This window comes from Homo sapiens, chromosome 6 (genome assembly GCF_000001405.40).
Source record: "Homo sapiens chromosome 6, GRCh38.p14 Primary Assembly".
NCBI lineage: Eukaryota > Metazoa > Chordata > Mammalia > Primates > Hominidae > Homo > Homo sapiens.
In genome coordinates, this window is record NC_000006.12 from 132,077,624 (window position 1) to 132,098,790 (window position 21,167).

The window sequence follows — 21,167 nt, forward strand, 5'->3', positions numbered from 1 at the left end:
GCAGTAGGTTAAATAAAATTCTGTTTGTATCTCCTGTTTTTTGTTTTAAATTTATTATTATTATGCTTTAAGTTTTAGGGTACATGTGCACAATGTGCAGCTTAGTTACATATGTATACATGTACCATGCTGGTGCGCTGCACCCACTAACTTGTCACACACGTAATGTATCTCCTGTTTTTGTGCTTCTCAAATTGAAGTCACTGAATCCTCAAGAATTCATGCTAGGTTGCCCTAGTAGTTGATACTCCCGGATGAACAACGTGGAACTTCCTGGAGAATTCATCTTGTTAGAATTAGAATTTTTTGTGAACACTCTATATATTTAAGCCAATATATTTTGATATGGAAAACAAAATGTGCACAAAGGAGACGTAAAAGAAATTTCCACCTGCCACAGATCCCCTTGGGCTATACCTCAACCCAAGACCCTACGTGTGCCATTTTCTATTCGGTCACCTTGTTAGAAATATTTAAGAAGCTCTTTCTGGTAGTTCACAAAAACAGTTCCTGTGGTGCCGGCCCATTCTGCAGATTCCCCGGGTTAGATGCTGATGATATCATATTCCATGGCTCTTGTAAAAGTGCCAAATATTTTAGAATAGCCTGCAGAGCACAATGTAAATGTGCAATTATCCTAAGTTTCTCAGTCTTCCTTTTTGCCAGAATATGCCTACTGTTGTCTCGATTAAATGACTTTGGATGTTTTCAGTCCTATGCAAAAACAATATTAACTAATATGAATTTAGAGCTTTTTATTGCATAAAGAGCCCCCTCTGTATTGTTGCATTTAAGCATCGCAGCAACCCTCTGAGTTAGGTGTCATTCTCATCCTCTTTGTTGACGAGAACCTGAGTACAAACTGCTCAAGTTATGTCCTCAAGATCACACAGCTCAAAAGAGGAATATCCAGGATTTGAAACCAAATGGTCCTCCTGAGAGGTCCCACCTTTACATATTACTCTATTCTTCTTCTGGAATCATGAGGGGATAACATTCTTTGTTAAAAGGGCAAATAAAATATTTATAATCATGTCAAACAGGGTTGATTTCTGCCATGTGACATGATTCTTACTTAACTGGTGGGACTCCAGCAGCATACTGCAATCAGCTTATAAACAGCATTGACTTACACATACTCAGAGGTACACACTCATCCCAAACCAAACCATAAAGTTGATGGAATTTGTATTCCTTTTCATGGCCCTCACCTTCCACATTCTTGACCTTTCTTGCTACATTATTCCCAATTGCTTTCTAACCTTCTCCTCTTGTATAACCAGAAGAGAATTCGATGCCAGCCTTTATAGTGTGGCAGATGGATTCCACATTAGGTTGATGCAGATGAATTTCAGTCATCTGCATTATATCAACCAAGCATCTTCATTCAAGCCTTTGGTTTTATCTCTGAAGGAATAAATTTGAGTTCACTGGAATAATTCAAGGCTTTTATTTTATCTCTAATTGAATGATTTGAGTCCATTCAGTAACCACATGGCAAGATAATTTGAGGGTGGGAGGCCCTTGAAATACTCCATCTCTTCACAAGTTACTCTATTTAATGAGACTATGTGAGGGTATAGATGGCCTAAAGGAATGACACTGCATAATTTCTTTCCTTGTTTAGAGGTACTCTCCTTTGGTAGAACTAAGGCTAACAGTGGTCCCACAGTTGCTGCAGCAGGTATTTTCCAAGAGTTTCTGGGGGCAGAAAGGTACAAACCCCATTGTTATCATTGTTTTCCAAGATTGGGCCAGGTATCTAGGGCACCTGCATTCCTTCTAGACACTCAGCCCACCATCACCACCTGTACAGAGCCTTCCAGGTCAAACAAGCCATCTGTGCATTCTGACATTGTGACATTATGATAAGCAGCATTGAGTAGAAGCTTTTACAGAAATGTGACTCTTGTGACATCCTGGAATGTTATGTGTTTTGTATTTGATCTCTGATAAGAAGCTACTGAAAACAAAACTCTCTTCCTTATTAAAATAGGTGCTGCAGGCCGGGCGCGGTGGCTCACGCCTGTAATCCCAGCTCTTTGGGAGGCCAAGGTGGGCGGATCACGAGGTCAGGAGATCGAGACTACGGTGAAACCCTGTCTCTACTAAAAATACAAAAAAAAAAAAAAATTAGCCGGGCATGGTGGCGGGCGCCTGTAGTCCCAGCTACTCGGGAGGCTGAGGCAGGAGAATGGCGTGAACCTGGAAGGCAGAGTTTGCAGTTAGCCGAGATAGTGCCACTGTACTCCAGCCTGGGCGACAGAGAGACTCCATCTCAAAAAAAAAAAGAAAAAAAATAGGTGCTACAGTGAACTTTTACTTAGATTATACTCAGTTTTTTATCTGTTTATAATCTCCCACCAGACTCATAGAAGTCAAGAACTAATTTTTTTTCTTTACATCCTCTGTACTAAGTAGAATACTTGGCAGAAAGAGAGGGAGACAGAGTGCTAAGTAAATGTGGAATGAATTAATTAATGAATGACAGACTGAATAAGTATATTTATGTTGAATCTATATATAACTAAATTCTTCCAAGATCAGACGATACTGGGTGCGTTCAGGGTGGTATGGCCTTAGATGAACTTTAACCTCTATAGAAGTATGCATAGAATAATTCTCCAGTAGGTTTTATGGAATACCATAAAGTATCCTACAGAATTAGGCAGCAAAATTTGTGCTACTAGAATAAGATACAGGCCTAGGTAAAAATAATCACATTTATCTACAAAAATTTAGGATTTAGGTTATAAATACTTAGAACATTTTCCTGAACAAGTCCCAGTTGTTGAAACATTTTAAGAGTCCTGTAAAAATTTCAAAAAAATGCTTTTCTTACTCATGGCCTAAGTTGTATTAAAGAAAGCACAGTGGCCCTTCATCACTTATCACATAGGGTTTTAGTCCTGTTTGGATTATATATAACTTCACTCTACCCTTCCAACATAATATCCTTTCATTTCCCAACATGTGGCCTTTCTCCATGCACACCAGTACCCTCAGTAATCTCTTCTTATTCACCATGTTGGGTTCTGTATGGGCTTTGGAAATTCCAGTCTTCCCCTTTGTATAACCCCTCCCCAACCCTTTCTCAATCTTCTGCAATCAGCTTCTACTTACGTTCAGGGTCCAGCTCAAGTCTTTCCTTCGCCATGTCTAATTCCCTGACAACTCTTGACTTCCTATTTGTTCTTTTGCTGAGTCCTAGTACACATATTATTAGTGTCACAGTCACAACCTTATTTCATCTCTCCTTGCCCTGTTTTATTAATTTTATGTACACATGTAAACTCTTTGAGGGAAGTGATTGTGTCAAAACCTCTGAGTCCCCTGCAAAACCAAATAAAATGCTAAGCACATAAAAGGATACTCAGCAATATTGCTTATGAGAAAATAATAAAGGTTTATTTTTTAATGTTTTATAGACCTCTTCACTGATACCGTTTATACTCATTTTTTTCTCATTTTGTCTTCTCCAAAAATTAAAAATATTTGTCAAACTTCTTATGACCTTTCATATCTTCATGCTATGTCTTTACCAAATGATATCCTAAGTTGTCTGAAAGGACATTTTGTCTTCCTGTTTGGAAACTTCCTCCACATTCTTCCCCGAGACATCAACACTTCTTTTGGAAACACTCTTTGTATGGTTTCCCTTCTCGGCATGCAAAAAGCACAGTCTGTATGTTAAAGGGTTTTCACAACTTTTACATTGTGGTATGTCTGAAACCCAGGAAACTATATAGCCACGATGAAATAGATAAACAAGGAGTATACTGAAGATACTCTTAGTGGAGAGACTATTTTCCCAACTTTTCATTTAGAGATAAAAAGTGAAATGAGTAAAGGACTGAAAGATAACCTGTAAGTTTCAACCAGCACTTTTCCAGGTATAAGAGAGAATGTGAAATTGCTGACATTGGTTTTTAAAAGTTTAAACAAATAAAAGGAAATAGTACCTGTAATAGTGGCTTTTAACTGAAATTAAGATCAAAGCTCATCCTTCCCAAGTATAAAGTGCAAGCTTTCAAGATTGTTCTAATTTTTATATAAGACAACTTACTAATTATTGTCTGCTTTTTACTGGCTCATACCTCTCTGTGCAGTTACATCCATTTGAAATGTCTGTATATGTGGGGGAAAAGCATATTTTAATAGCTTTTGCTTGTAACTTGGTAGTATGACTATTTTCAGTTATTTCCATTTGTTTAGCAGCCGAACTGCTTTAATATTAATTAGAAAGGTCAGTCTATTATTCAGATCCCCACATGGCTTTATACACCGCACCTTCTAACATGACTTACTGTACTTCTCATCTATCATAAGGTACCATGTTGTAGGTATTTGGTTTCTTGATTTAAAACCTAAAGAGTTCCAGATTTTAAATGATCTCTGTCTACTTTGACAAGGGAAAATGGACTAAAGGTGTCTCTTTCTATTTTTCTTTTTCTTTTGAGACAGAGTCTCATTCTGTCGCCCAAGTTCAAGCAATTCTCCTGCCTCAGCCTCCCAAGTAGCTGGGACTACAGGCGGGTGTCACCATGCTCAGCTAATTTTTTTTGTATTTTTAGTAGAGGTGGGGTTTCACCGTGTTAGCCAGGATGGTCTCGATCTCCTGACCTCGTAATCCACCCACCTCAGCCTCCCAAAGTGCTAGGATTATAGGCATGAGCCACCGCGCCTGGCTGCCTTCTCTTTCTATTTTTTGTATGAGGAAACTGTAAAGGTAGACTGACCTCCAGTATGGATCTGGGTCACTTTGAAACTCTGCCTTTACATTTTCTGCTTTCTAATTATTCTGCTCTTCGAATTTCCATTGTATTTTTTAAAGACACGTGGGTCAAGATGGCTTTTGATAAAGAATTTCTATTCTTTAGATTTAGACTTTATAGGTACATGAGTCAATATCATGAGTACAATGATTAACCACATTGTATGTAATTCTCAAAATGTTTATTTTATTTGGATATTTTGGTTGCAGATGGCACAGCCTTACTGAGTAATTAATTGGCCAGGAGAAAAATGACCTCTTAGGGCTGGATTGATGAGGGTCATGCTAAACATCCCAAATGCCATGAAACAGAAATGAGCTCACTTCAATAGAAATTATTTGAAGAGTATATTGAGATTAGGGGAAAATAGTCATGTGTATATGCTTGTTATAGGAGCAGAGTCAACTTTATAAGCATTTTAATAGCCACTTTGTGTATCTGCTAGACCTGGGTGAGGATGATAATTATTAATAACATGGATGCTGTCATTGAAAGGAAAGAGGAAAGTAAAAGCAGTTTAGAAGATTCAATTTAAAAACAACTTTGTTTAGATACTCTATTAACTTTATGTAAAAATTTCAAGTGCCTGAAATAAAACCTTTGTGTGTGCAAGTCATTAGGGTTTGATTGACACAGTCAGATTGAACTAGCAAAACAAACTTAGTATGTTGCTTTTTTGGAATGTTTCAAGACTCCAATACTACTACTGCACTTATATTTCCCTGATTTTGGATAGGTTTATGTTTCTTAGACCAAGAGCCAACTGAAAAACTCTTAGGATAAGTGTTCAAATAATTTCCTATTTATGATTTCAAGAAAAATGTCATTTGTTACAGATTACAGACATAGCTATTTGGGGGGTATCATTAGAAATCTGATTTTTACTATAAATATGGGCCAGCCTATAATTCAAAACTCTTTATCATACTGTTCAAAATCAAACATCATTTAACATCATTTTTGTGTGTTTAGATATTTCTATATATCATCAGCTCTGAATACTTTCTTTATTCTAACATGCTTCAAAAGATCCAGAATTACTAAAATGGTATACATTCAGAAATGCACACAGCTTACAACCTTCTAATGGCAGAACTAGGGACTCAGGTCAAAAAAAGAATTGCAGTCATGCAAAAACTGGAGATTACTGTCATGTGCAGCTGAGTTTGAGATATGGCAATCTTGGGGAAAGGTAAGTTTTATCTGACTTTAAAGGACATAGAAACTCTTTAGAATCATATTTTGTTACTACAATCAAGAGACATAAAATTTTATCAGGGGCCTTCTCCTTATCTTGTAGCAGGAATGAGAAATATTTCTACACTCAGAAATCAAAACCTCATTATCCCCTCTACAAATATCTGATAACTTACGATAATTAAACCAGGAAATTTTATAATTGTAGCTGTCTTCATGTATTTGTTTCTTACATGCTGCATTGGTTGGTATCCATTCAACAAAAAAATCTGTTTAGGTAATAATACATACAGATCATTTCTCACATCTACATTTCCTTGTATAGGAGAAAAAGAACAAGTCTATCTTCTGAAACTATGTTCCTGTGATGATTTTTTTTTGAGACCGATTCTCACTCTGTTGCCTAGGCTGGAGTGCAGTGGCACAATCTCAGCTCACTGCAACCTCTGCCTCCCAGGTTCAAGCGATTCTCCTGCCTCAGACACCCGAGTAGCTGAGACTACAGGCATGAGCCAGCACGCCCGGCTAATTTTTGTATTTTTAGTAGAGACAGGGTTTCACCATGTTGGCTAGGCTGGTCTTGAACTCCTGACCTCAGGTGATCCACCCACCTTGGCCTCCCAAAGTTTCAGGATTACAGGCATGAGCCTCTCGGCGCAACCCTCTTCCTGAGATTTTTTATCAATGCTATGGATTCAAATTCATGCCTTTTATAATGTGCTTCCACTTGCTTCATGTTGTTGGCCCTTTCTAGGTGTCCTTCTGAACAGACCTTCACATGGATGATATTTGCTCCGGGAGAATGCAGCATGAACACACAGATTTGGTCACAGTAACGAATGCTCCTTTGAAGACCAGCTGAGGAGGCCGGGTGCGGTGGCTCACGCCTATAATCCCAACACTTTGGGTGGCTGAGAAGGGCAAATCACGAGGTCAGGAGTTCGAGACCAGCCTGGCCAACATAGTGAAACCCTGTCTCTACTAAAAATACAAAAATTAGCTGGGTGTGGTGGCAGGAACCTGTAATACCAGCTACTCAGGAGGCTGAGGCAGGAGAATCGCTTGAACCCGGGAGGCAGAGGTTGCAGTGAGCCGAGATCGTGCCACTGGACTCTAGCCTGGGTGACAGAGCAAGACTCCAACTTGAAAAAAAAAAAAGCTGAGGAAAGAAAGATATTATTTTAGCACGTTATTATTACTGATGTCACTTCCTCCTTCTTTGTTTCTTTTGCCTTTTTCTCATATGAAACATCATGTCATTCCTAAAGAGGAGAAACTCACAGGTCAAAAATGTAAGGCTTTCTCTGTGTCTGAGAGGAAAATGTTGTCATTTAAAATAAAATACCTCCTACCAAGCAGAACAGCCTTCCTGAGTATTTCATTCCTGGGACTGTTTGCATTCTTTCTCAGTGAGCTACAGTGATAGGCATCAGAACCTATTTATAACAGGAAAGAAGAGATATTAAACTATTCAGTGCTATGTTAAGAATAAAACCCTCAAGTAATTGGATGGAATTTCTATGTGCCTCTTCCCAGCAAGCATCCCTTACCCTTTTGGGGGAGACATGGCTATATGTCAGGCCTGTGAGAACCCAATGCAGGAACAGCATGTGATATGAAAATGGAAACTGTCAGATTGAAACCATACATGGCGAAGTCAAAAAGAGACTCTTTCTTGCACTGTTTCAGAGGTATGCTGGGGTTATTTCAGTGCTGTAAGAATAAATAGAACTTGAGGCACTTTGGAGGATAATGTAAAAGTATGTGAGAGGACTCTGCGAATTTTCCCAGGCAACATCTCCCAGCCAATTGTCTTCTAGCTTTCACTCTGACCTTAGAAAACATGATTGCTGTGCAATAGGGTCTGTGCCTTTTGTAAGCGCACCCAGACTGGCCTGCTTGTTTAAAGACATGAGGGAAGCTTCTGCCTAATACTGTGTTCCTTAGGATTGTGAGGACAGAAGTACCAAAACCAAACAAAAAGAAACCAACAAGACAACCATGAAACTCCAAACACAAGACAACATTGTAAGTTACTGGATAACTAACGATAAACTACACAAAATCATAGAATGCATGACCAGGGTAGGAAACTAAAAAATCCTCAGTCCAAGCTCCTCTTTAGCAAAGGAAGAGAACAAGACAGAAACTAAAATACCTTGCCCCATAACCTGGCCAATTATAACAGAATTGAAATCACTTCTTATAGCTTCCTGTCTCTGAGTGCAAGGATGCCTTTCATTGGGAAACGCAAATCAGTAACAGAATTACAAATGGAAAGCATGTCACGTGGTGGTGCTGCAATGTGTCCAATCCTTTGGCAGTCCCTAGACCTCCCAATTCTGCAGCCCCTGTAGCTATGCAGCAGCCACAGATAAGCCACGGTGTCTTGGTGGTGCAAGTACCCAGGCTTGGGACAGCCCCAGGAAGAATAAAGTAACCGGGCATTTTTAGGGATAAAAATAGCCATTCAAATTAAAGAGAGGGTGGTGCTGGTGCCGTGTAAAATAGACAAAGATACAAGTTTAGGTAGTAAAAAAAGATGATTGATGGGAGGTGACAGTCTTTCCCTTGTATTATTTATTTGTCTAGCATTGAGATGTCCTCTTTCAATTACACTGGCTTTTAATACTATGAGAATTGGCTGTTTAATAGCAAATTTTTTAAACTCTGGAATATGCCTTTCTAGCTGAAATTGTATATGAGAAATACACTTTTTTCTATAAAAGTATTTATTTAAGTTGATATTCTGGCTTTCCTGTAGAAACAAAGTCATGTCCACGTGGCCCTCAGTGTCCCAGAACTTCAGTATGGAGGATGGTGCTTTCTAGTGCTTGCATCTCTTCTTCATGCCTGGGCATGACAGAAAGAAACTTTTCTTCTAATTCACACTGCTAAGCCATCAGACCTACATTAGAAAATAATTATTAAATCTATATCAGTCTGTGTTATGAATTTGGGTCTTCAGTCTGTTTTCCTAAACTCTCCTTTTTGGTAACTTGATACAGCAAACATGTTCAGAATGAAGGAGAAAGGAAAAGCTAGATCAACCCTTTGGTTATCCTGGGTTTTATCTTAGCAGATTTTTGAGTGGATCAAATGAAATAATACATGTAAATTTGCTTTGGTAAACTTTAAAATGCTGCAACAATTTAAGATCCTATAGTGACTTTAAACATTAACTCGAGGAAGTTTGTTTTAATTGACAGTGTTAAAATATATAAAGAGATATATACGTATCAGAAAATAATAAGCCCAGGCATGATGGCTCATGCCTGTAATCCCAGTGCTTCGGGAGGCAGAGGTGGAAGAATCACTTGAACCCAGGAGTTCGAGACCAGCCTGGGCAGCATAGTGAGACTTCATCTCTGACAAAAATTTAAAAACCTAGCCAGACATGATGGTGTATGCCTGTAGTTCCAGGTGCTTGAGAGGCTGAGGCAGGAGGATACCTTGAGACTACGTGTTCAAGGCTGCAGTGAGTCTAAGGCACATCAGCCTTAGTGACAGAGTGAGGCCCCATTTCTTAAAAAAAGAAAAAAAAGAAAGAAAGTATACTAATGGCACATGTGTTGCACTAGTAGCCAGGCACTGACCTCAGTATGCATACTGATTATCTCACTTGATCTTATTAACCTTGTAAGGGGAGTACTATTATTATTATTATTTCCACTTTAAATGTGAAAGTTAAGGCTCAAAAAGATCATACAACTAATAAGTGGCAGAGCCACAGACATTTATAACTCCAGAATATATGCTTCTGACCACTAGGCTCTAATACATGAAATAGAAGTGATATATTTCATTGTACTGTAAAAACACTTCGTATATAACTTTATCATTCTGCTGATCATATGCTAAGCATATCAAGTTTTGTTTGGTTAGGCTTTCTTTCATTTTAATGACAAATCTTGGAAGACAAACTATGCTATGTTCTTTATGAAGGGAGCTCAGAACAAAATAGGCTGTCATTAACTGGCAAACACCAGTGATTCATGTGAAAGACTATTATCTTTGGTGAAAGAAGGAGTGCTAGGCTAAGGACCGGGAGCCAGGAATCTGCCATTTCCTGGCTGTGAAATTTATGTAAGCAATATTACTGGAATACATAGCCTACACATCCTTTCTAGCTCTGAAATTCTATGGTTCTCTTATAGAGCCCTTCAATTGAAGATCAGGCATTGTCTATGTAAAAGGCGCATGTAATTCAAATCACAGGGAAAAATGTTTTATACTTGGTTGTGTTGATGGCTGTACAACTCTGTGACTATACTAAAAGCCATTGAATTGTACACTTTAAATGAGTGAGTTTTATGGTATGTGAATTAAATCTCAATTAAACATATGATAGCATATAATATAAAATAAAACACGCACACACACAAGTACCATCCTCCCATTTAAACATTATTTGTCATGAAAGCAGCAGCAGCCAATTGATATTAAAATGAATAAAGTGAAATATTAAAGTAAAAATGTAATAATATGTAATACAAATTACTCTGATAATTGTCAGTGTGATATAAGAAAAGATTTATCTCATGAAGAAAATAAATATGGTATGCTTTCTGGAATAGAGCTTTGAACATCTCTTCTCCAGAATTGCCCCTAATATCAGCTTTAGTGCAGGGCTGATGCCACAGAAATTGTTCGTTATGTTCAGTTGCACTTACACAGAAGGTGTTCTACCTCAAGAGTGAGGTTGTTTTGAATGTCAGCTCAATTGTCCCGACTCCACATTCTGCAATTTCTTTTCATGTTTCTGTCATTCTCCTTCTCATTTTACAGCTAAAGAAATGGAGCAGAGAGGGATAAATTATTTATCCTTGGTCACTCAGAACTTCAGTCAGAGTCTAGATGCACACATTGCTACTAAATGGCACAATGATAAAAAGACACTCTACCTTGCAATATTTTAATTTAACACAATAATGACTTATATAGACATATACTCAAAACTTATCCTACATTTTTGGATTCAATTATTACTGCCCGGGCCAATTGCTAGTGCATAGTTTTGTTTGTGGGCCTTGAGTTTACCCAGCCCTCTTTTTTGCCCTTATTTACAACAGAACTTGAGAGTATAAATATAGATAATCACCACTAGAAATAAGAATGAGTAGGTTCAATTTATAAATGAAGAATACTGTCTATTCCTCTTTTCTATCCACACAGAAACCCAAAGTAAAGAAACACACAGAAGCACACACAAAGTAACTAAATTTTCTCCAAACATCTAGGTTTTTCTTACATCTTAGAGCTCACTCTGATAAGAGTGTTCTAAGATTTCTCCTACTAAAGTAAAAATTGAGTCAGAAAACTCCTGATTCTTTTTGTGAAACGAGTGTCTTATTACTGAACTAAGAAGATAGTTTTTCTAGTATTAACGTCGTGTACAGTTTTGGTGTCAGGTGTCACATTGCCTCTCTGGAGATTCTTCCCCTTCACCCAGCGGCAATATCACAAAGAAGGAAGCATGTTTCTGCAAAAACAAAACAAACAAACAAAAAAAAACTCAGAGTAGTTTTGCAAATAGTGATAATATAATGTGGATGCAGTATTGAATATCGCTCACCAAGAATTCTGCACACATTTCATTTTTAGGATGGGAAATTTCTATTTAGTCTATGGCTTTGTGTGTGACTGTGAGCCAGTTTCTTATTCAGAAGCTGAGGATGGCTTATTTTTTTTCCATCTTGATTATTTTCTTGGGATTTCTGGCCATCCTGTTGAAGCGCCTGCTGCTAGCAGGTGGGTCTCATCAGCATCTAAATGCAGGGATTGAGATGCTCTATAAATGCCTGACTAAGGAGGTTAGAGAAACTTTCCTCTTCTACAAATACCCGCAGGATACAAGACCTCAAAAATGTATGCCTAGTCTTTGTAGACATTTCTGTAGAATATTTTTTTCTCTTGGGATTCTTGCCACATTTCCCTCAAGCCTTTTAAAAATGATTTTTTTTTCATGTTTGAGACTAATTTTTCCCATTGTAGGTGAATATTATTTAAGGAGCAGTTATTTTTAGACATGAAACTAATGAAACTGGAAAAAGTACAAACATACCTTTATCACAGGAGAGATCTTCATATAAACCCTTTTCTCTCTTATGTTATATATCATGGAAGAAAACTTTCATGATGTGCCAGTGTGAAGACTTGATATGGGGTGAACTGTGTACTTCCCAAATCCATATGTTGAAGCCCCACCCCCTCAGTGTGATGGCATTTGGAGGTGGGGCTTTTGAGAAATAATTAGGTTTAAATAAACTCATGATGATGGGGCCCCCACAATGGGATTCGTGCCCTTGTAAGAAGGGACACTGGGAGCTTATGCTTGGGTGCTTGCATTCTCTCTCTCTTTCTTTCTCTCTCTTGCATGTGGGGACACAGGGAGAAGTCCACCATTTACAAGATAGAAACAGCTCTCACCTGAAATAGGTGAGAAACAGCTCTCATTCTGCCAGACCTTGATCTTGGACTATCTAGTCTCTACAACTGTGAGAAAATTAATTTCTCTTATTTAAGCCACCCAGTCTATGGTATTTCGTATGGCAGCCTAAAGTGACTAAGGGGCTTTCCATATAACAAATATCTATGTAAATATGACTTGGTTACTTTGGGTACTTTGGGTACTTGTTTACTTGGGTACTTTGATTACAAAGTAGCCAACCTTAATTATCCATTAAAAAATCCACTGCACAAAATATCAAGAGGTTATAGCTGAAGAAAAAAATGTAGCATATTTTGTCCCATAAAATGTTCATGTTTCTCTAACAGGTTAAGAGATTCAGTCACAAAATACTAGGACTCAGAGAGTTTATTGTATTTTACTTTCTTTTACCTCCTCCAGAGAGTGCTAAACTCAGAAAGGCAAAACAAGGTTAGAATGAAGCCCATGCAAAGAAAATATGGACCTGAAGAAAAACAAGCTATGGACTATCTTCTGTCTCATGCTAGCAGTGGAATAGGAAAAGGACTCAAAAGACTTCTACTGGCCATAATGAAGTACCTGTTACTATATTTGCTTTCCTACCATAAGCAACTATAAAACTGGACAATATATAGGCAACTGATCTCATGCATTTCAAGCAGCACAGGATTCTGATAATTAACAGAAGGAAAGCACATGAGGTGAGCTCTGACATTCACCCTACCTTTTGGCCTGGGGATACTTTTCTTATGATGGCACAAAAGACAGAGCCCAAGTAGAATGGCAGTCTAACTAAATTGAGGAGGCAGAGATCAGAGTTCTGGGCTCTTGACACAGCTAAATTTGCAGAGCAGGAAACCAGAAGAGAACTGAGCCTTGTGTGTGTGAAATGGGAGGTGGAGAGGATAGAAATATGCATGGAGGTTCACTCTGGATCCTTAACCAAGGGCTGGGCTGTGTGTGTAAGACCTAGTAGAGTAGCTGCTAAGGGGCTGAGAGAGGAATGGAGATACCAGAGGTTGCTTTGTGCTGGGAAACACTGAAGCTCCAATTCAGCCAGAATAGAGTCCTTATTGCCTTGAGAATTTAATTGAGATCTTAGAAAAGCCATACCTTTTGAGTAAGGACCACATGTTGTGGTAAGGGTCTCATTCTAAGACTAAGGATCAAACCAAAATAGACCTATGATTATAAAGAGTAAGACCAAACTTAAGGAGAGCAAAAAGTCCTTCTAGTAATTTAATTACCTGTCAGAATAAAAGGCATTCCCCTTTAAAGAAATACAACATAATCCAGCCTCCCACAAGTTATAATTATATGTCCACCATATTATAAACAGTTACTTGACTTAAAAAGAAACAAGAAAATGCGACAAATAAACAAGAAAAAATAAATTTGATTAAAACAAAGATGAGTTAGATATCATTCTAAACACATATAAGAATATTAAAAAACTATTATAGATAATGTTTAAAAACTATTGTAGATAATGTTTAAAGACTTAAATGTAAAGATAATCTTAATGAGTGTACAGATAGGGTATCTAAGCACAAAATTGAGACCTATAAAAAAGAAACAGATGAGAATTCTAGAATTAAAAAGCACAATTAAAAGTTCCCTGGGTGGACTTAACAGCAGATTGGAGAAGGTAGAAAATTGTCATTGAACTTGAAAACATATCTGTAGAATTATTCAATCTAAAGAACTCTGAGAAAAAACATTTAATAAATTCACCAAGCCTCCATGACCTGTGGAACACTATTAGGCATCTGTCATTGGAGGGAGATGACAGAGTGGGGCAGAAAACAAATTTGAAGAATTAATAGTTGAAAAGTTCATAAATTTGATGAAAACTATCAAATCACATACTGAAGAACCTTAGCAAAACCCATACAAGATAAATAGAATGAAAACCTAGCAACATTATAGTCAAACTACTGAAACCAAAGATATCAAGAAAATATATATTTTTTAAGTCTTAACTACCGACTTTTGGGAAAGACAATAGATTTTGCACCAGATTCACAATAAAGAAAATGATTTTGTTATAAATCTCAGGGGGAAAGAGCAAAATTAGCTCTCAAAACTCACAAATATTTCAATCTATTTCATCATGATAAAGATTAATCAGATAAGGATTCGGAGCAGAGGTCATTACTGATAATAGTTGCATTTTGCTGTGCTATTCTTTTTACCTATATCTTTTGGGAAGCAGGTTCAGCAGCAGGAGTAAGTGGCTATAGAAGGTGTGGGGATTCACTCCTTTGTTATTACCGTCACTGATGGCATTTTTTTTCAAAAGGCTAATCTAGAATAGTTTTATTTCATTTCTTACTTCTAGGATTTATTTAAAATAATAATTGCATCTGATTGAATTACCAAATAATTAAACATTTACTATGTGTCAGGTGCTTTTAATTACATCATGCCATTTGATCCCCATAACATTATTAGAAATAAGCATTATAGTCACTATTTTTACAGTAGAGGACATTGAAACTTAAGAAAGGTTAGAAAAATTTGCCCTAATCATGCAGCTACTTAACTAGGGATTCAAATTCAGTATTATCTAACTCTAAAACAAATGTTTTTTCAGTGTTATACAAATAATTACATAATTACCTGGATTTATAAGGGATTCTTGTTTGTTTTATTTTCTCTTGTATTTTTGGAAAGACGCTTTAAAATTAAATATCTCTTATAGAATTGCTAAGGTAAGAACAACACTTATATAGCCAAATGCTTTGATGTGCTCCATCAGCAAGGAATAGGTAAAAGACTAAGGCAAAGTGCTGATTAGTCAACACTATGAGCTTAATTATTAGGACAGCATTGCTTATGTACGGCTGCAAACATAGAATTATAAGTAATAAAGCTAAAATATAAAATTCTTATTGTCATAACTAAGGACATTTGATTTTTAATATTATATAAAATAATATAGAGATGTGCCACAAATAATATAACAATCATTCATGTGTTGGTCATATTTCAACAAATGCTAACTTTTAAGAATTTTTTTTAATGTTATGTTTTTTTTTTAAATTTTTTTATTTATTATTTTATTTTATTTTATTATTATTATACTTTAAGTTTTAGGGTACATGTGCACAATGTGCAGGTTAGTTACATATATATACATGTGCCATGCTGGTGTGCTGCACCCATTAACTCGTCATTTAGCATTAGGTATATCTCCTAAAGCTATCCCTCCCTGCTCCCCCCACTCCACAACAGTCCCCAGAGTGTGATGTTCCCCTTCCTGTGTCCATGTGTTCTCATTGTTCAATTCCCACCTATGAGTGAGAATATGCAGTGTTTGGTTTTTTGTTCTTGCGATAGTTTACTGAGAATGATGATTTCCAATTTCATCCATGTCCCTACAAAGGACATGAACTCATCATTTTTTATGGCTGCATAGTATTCCATGGTGTATATGTGCCACATTTTCTTAATCCAGTCTACCATTGTTGGACATTTGGGTTGGTTCCAAGTCTTTGCTATTGTGAATACTGCCACAATAAACATACGTCTGCATGTGTCTTTATGGCAGCATGATTTATAGTCCTTTGGGTATATACCCAGTAATGGGATGGCTGGGTCAAATGGAATTTCTAGTTCTAGATCCCTGAGGAATCGCCACACTGACTTCCGCAATGGTGGAACTAGTTTAGAGTCCCACCAATAGTGTAAAAGTGTTTCTATTTCTCCACATCCTCTCCAGCACCTGTTGTTTGCTGACTTTTTAATGATTGCCATTCTAACTGGTGTGAGATGGTATCTCATTGTGGTTTTGACTTGCATTTCTCTGATGGCCAGTGATGGTGAGCATTTTTTCATGTGTTTTTTGGCTGCATAAATGTCTTCTTTTGAGAAGTGTCTGTTCATGTCCTTTGCCCACTTTTTGATGTGGTTGTTTGTTTTTTTCTTGTAAACTTGTTTGAGTTCATTGTAGACTCTGGATATTAGCCCTTTGTCAGATGAGTAGGTTGTGAAAATTTTCTCCCATTTTGTAGGTTGCCTGTTCACTCTGATGGTAGTTTCTTTTGCTGTGCAGAAGCTCTTTAGTTTAATTAGATCCCATTTGTCAATTTTGGCTTTTGTTGCCATTGCTTTTGGTGTTTTAGACATGAAGTCCTTGCCCATGCCTATGTGCTGAATGGTAATGCCTAGGTTTTCTTCTAGGGTTTTTATGGTTTTAGGTCTAACGTTTAAGTCTTTAATCCGTCTTGAATTAATTTTTGTATAAGGTGTAAGGAAGGGATCCAATTTCAGCTTTCTACATATGACTAGCCAGTTTTCCAAGCACCATTTATTAAATAGGGAATCCTTTCCCCATTGCTTGTTTTTCTCAGGTTTGTTAAAGATCAGATAGTTGTAGATATGCGACTTTATTTCTGAGGGCTCTGTTCTGTTCCATTGATCTATATCTCTGTTTTGGTACCAGTACCATGCTGTTTTGGTTACTGTAGCCTTGTAGTATAGTTTGAAGTCAGGTAGCGTGATGCCTCCAGCTTTGTTCTTTTGGCTTAGGATTGACTTGGCGATGCGGGCTCTCTTTTGGTTCCATATGAACTTTAAAGTAGTTTTTTCCAATTCTGTGAAGAAAGTCATTGGTAGCTTTATGGGGATGGCATTGTTTTTTGCTTCAATTTTTAAAGGAAAAAAATAATTACATGTATAACTCCCCTATGTAAGCATTTCCCTCTGTGATACACATTAGTGCTACTCACCAATAGTTATTATTGTTTTTCTTCTAGTATAGATGGGATTGGATTTCTCTGCTCCTTGGGCTTGGGTCTGGCTTGATAAATGGCTTTAGCCAATAAAATATGAGTAGATGTCACATACGTAACTTTCATGTACAATTGCCAATACTAAAATGGAAGAGTCTCCAAAGCTTTCCTCCTTTGTTACTATGGTCTTTAAGGACATGTTAATGTGGAGGTGAAATGTCAAGCCATTGCATTGAGAACAGTTGGCTTTGGTAGCAGACTTCATTGTTTTAAGCCACTAATATTTTGGGGTTGTTTGTTTATCAGCACAATCTAGACTATCCTGACTACAACACCCTCTCAGCACCTCATCAACACCCTCTTGCCCTTCCAAATCAGCAAAGGAAATAAAGGCTACCACTGTCAAAATTCGCCTTTATTTTCTTTGCTGATTTGGAAGTATAGATTATATTTCTTTTCATTTAGTGAACACCTACTACATTTTATTTTACTTACTTAAATATACATTTTTTTCTAACAAAGTAAAGTTATTCAAAATATTTATCTATACTTAAAAATGCATAATATGCTTTGACTATTCATACAATCCCAATTCCATATCATTTCTTATTAACTATTATATAGAATTGTATCTATAATTGTTAAAGTAGAAAATACTCTTAAGCTTTTATCATCTAAACTTTTAAAGATTTGTTCATATTCTGAAATGATAATTTAATTAAGCACAGAATTCTAATGGAAAGTTATTTAACCCCAGTAACTGGAAGATATCACTCCACTTGGTTCTACAAGCTATTGTTACCATAAGATTTGTTTTGTCTTATGAATGTTTTTCATTTATAATTAGTCTTTGTTTTAAAAAAAAATGTATATTTATCCTTGATGCACTGTATTTAGTTTCCTTGCAATGTACCTAAATGTGAATTTATTTCAATTGACCACACATTTCATTTTGCTTTTTGTATACTTTCAATCTCAGAACTCATGTCTTTTTTTAATCCTAGAAAGCTCTCTATTAATAACCTTTTAATCAGTAATACTAGTTCTCATATTGACAATCCATTGATTATGCTCTCCCCAGGTGTGTAAGTGTGCTAAATTTAGAACACAAGTTATTATTCTTTAGGGGTATCTCCAAATGTAAGAATAAAATATGCTCTTGGCCTCACATGGTGGCTCATGCTTGTAATACTAGCACTTTGTGAGGCCAAAGCAGGAAGATCGCTGGAAGCCAGGAGTTCAAGACCAGCCTGTGCAAAATAGCAAGATCCTATCTCTATTAGAAGTTTTTTAAAAAATTAGCCAATAGTTAATTTTGGTGGCAAATGGTAGCACATGCCTGTAGCCCCAGCTACTCATGAGGCAGAGGCAGGAGGATTGCTTGAGCCCAGGAGTTTCAAGCTGTAGTGAGCCTCTGGCCATTCCACTGTACTTCAGCCTGGGTGACAGAGCAGGACCCTGTCTTTAAACAAGACAAAACAAAAAAACTAAACTAAAAAATGCTCTCATGCTGTCTTATTTGTGTAGGTTGTTACAATAACGGTCCTGATACACAATGCCTCTCAGTATCCAAGCTCTTATGTAGTCCTTTCCACACTGACTCTAGGCTTGGTCATGTGATTTGCTTTGTCCAATAGGATATCAGCAAATGTGACATAAGCAGAGGCTGAATATAAGCTTGTGCACTGGGGATGGCCCTGTTGAAACCCTGAGATCACTATCTTACAAGGACTCATGGTCTAGCCTTCCTGACGTAATCCCAGCCAACCCTCCAGCAGAACGCAGCCACAGAAAATATCAGCAGAATCAAGGCAACACTCAGAATTATGAAAAAGTATAATTTCTTGTTGTGTTAAGTCACTGAGTTTTGGAGCTATTTTTATATAACAATAGTTAAGCAATACAATGTCTGATTTTTAAATCTCTCCCTCCCAATAATATGTTTCAAATTACATACAAATTTTTGTACCTAATTAAGATGATGGCATACAAAACAAGCTTTTCAGATTTTGCAACTTATGTTTTGTTATTCCTAGAATGAAGTCATAGTATTCTGGGGTACAATTAATCATATTATGAACTTATGTCAGACTCAAGATCTGAACTCAGGAAAAAAAAAGGAGCAGATTAAATATATAAATTAAACAATGTTGAGGGCATGGAGAGAAATCAAGATTACGTTGTTATAGGTAGAAAACTGTTCATTTGAAAATGCCATGCCTCTGAAGAAAACAACAGGGTGATGTTGGGAGGTGTGGTGGAAGATGTGAGTAGTAATTACCGTTGTGATTTTCATTCCCTAAGAAATGAAATCCAATTTTACATGGAAAAGGCACATGGTTGCCTCTCATGTTTACATGGAGACTTCCCGTCATAGTTCCTTGGAAGCCATGTGTCTAACTTAACGATCAGACTTCCAGTTAGTCATTTGCTGGTGTTAAATCTGGCAGAGTGAATTGTACAGTCGAGAAGTGACCACTCTCACGATGGAATTTAGGTAGAACAACTGCAAAGTGTTTTCCAAGTGCTTCCCAAGGGGCATGGATAACTCCCTCCTTAAAAGCAGATTACCTCTTCATTTTTTACTAACAGTGTGTCTATGTCTCTTGAACTCAGGATTATTCTGACTTGAGACTAATGAATATATATACATATATATGTATATATATTTATCTTTGATGCAGTGTATTTAGTTTCCTTGCAATGTAACCAAATGTGAATTTATTTCTCTTGACCAAACATTTTACTTTTTGAACACTTTAAATCTCAGAACTCATGTTTTTTTTTTTTTTTAATTCTAGAAAGTTCTCAATAACCCTTTAATCAGTAACACCAGTTCTCACATTGACAACCCATTGATTAGTTTATGCTCTCCCCAGGTGTGTAAGTGTGCTAAATTTAGAACACGAGTTATTATTCTTTAGGGGTAGCTCTAAATGTGAGTATATATATAAATACATATATATATAAATATATATATATATATGTACACACACATACATTTGTATATTTTTGAGTCAGAGTCTCGCTCTGTCACTCAGGCTGGAGTGCAGTGGGACAATCTTGGCACACTACAACCTCCGCCTTTCATGTTCAAGCGATTCTCATGCCTCTGCCTCCCAAGTAGCTGGGATTATAGGTGTATGCCACCACACCCGGCTAATTTTTGTTTGTTGGTGTTTTGTTTTGTTTTGTTTTGTAGATACAGGGTTTCACTATGTTGACCAGGCTGGTCTCAAACTCCTGAGCTCAAGTGATCTACCCACCTTGACCTCCCAAAATGCTGGGATTACAGGCGTGAGCCACCTTGCCTGGCCGGCTAATGAATATATTAAAGAAATTGAATAAACTCAATTAGGACTGATAAAGGGGGAATCATCTTTACTGAGTAACCTGGAACTTTCCTAAGTACCTGGTTAGGGGGTATAGAAGCTAAGCTAATAGTTAGGTCTACAGCAGTCAAAAGGCTCTTTATTTTTAAGGAATACTTTTATGTGGAAACTTAAATTAGGAAAACGAAGATTATCTTCCTAACAAATTCACAAAAGCAATGAAAGCAAAATAAAAGATTTAAGAGGAGCTGTTTGCACATTTTAGATCCTTATAATCAGTCTGACCATACTTTTATTTATCCCCAGCCAACTTTTAATTTCAACAGATAGAGTTGCCTCTTGTAGTCATGATATTTCCTCTCCAGTAACAAAGGCTTGAGAAATCATAAGAACACTAATAATTAATGCACTGTAGTAAGTAACAAGTAAGCAGTTTTTACCTTCTAGATGGACTGGGGAAGGCTTTCTAAAAAAGATGATAATTCAGTGGGCCTGTAGAGAGTGAATAGAGTTTGCAAGATAAAACATGAGAAGAAAGCATTTCCAGACCAATGAAAGAGACAAGTAATAGCATGAAGATATTGAAACCCCTGCTAAGTTGGGGGAGTCATTTTAGTTGTCTTGCTTAATTAGGACTTAGGATGCATGGACACATTGGGATAGTTATCAAATGCTATTGAAAAGTTTGTTTGGAATA

At 36.9% G+C, this 21,167-nt stretch overlaps 1 long non-coding RNA gene across 4 annotated transcripts in view, besides 1 other annotated feature; it reads left to right on the forward strand.

Moving 5' to 3' along the window:
- CCN2-AS1 (CCN2 antisense RNA 1) overlaps window positions 1-21,167 on the forward strand; it is a 200,374-nt gene that overhangs the window by 175,672 nt on the left and 3,535 nt on the right. Inside the window, exon 5 of one of the 4 annotated variants that reach the window (NR_187595.1) lies at window positions 12,823-13,103. The exons of the other annotated variants lie outside the window; for them this stretch is intronic. This is a non-coding gene — a long non-coding RNA (CCN2 antisense RNA 1). The remainder of the gene's footprint in view (window positions 1-12,822; window positions 13,104-21,167) is intronic. 4 annotated transcript variants of the gene reach the window in all.
- Window positions 7,700-7,879: an enhancer, noted in NCBI's record as "active region_25069". NCBI's record gives its function as "activates an Ori minimal core promoter by ATAC-STARR-seq in GM12878 lymphoblastoid cells {active_cell/tissue: GM12878}" and the evidence as "EXISTENCE:reporter gene assay evidence [ECO:0000049][PMID:35858748]".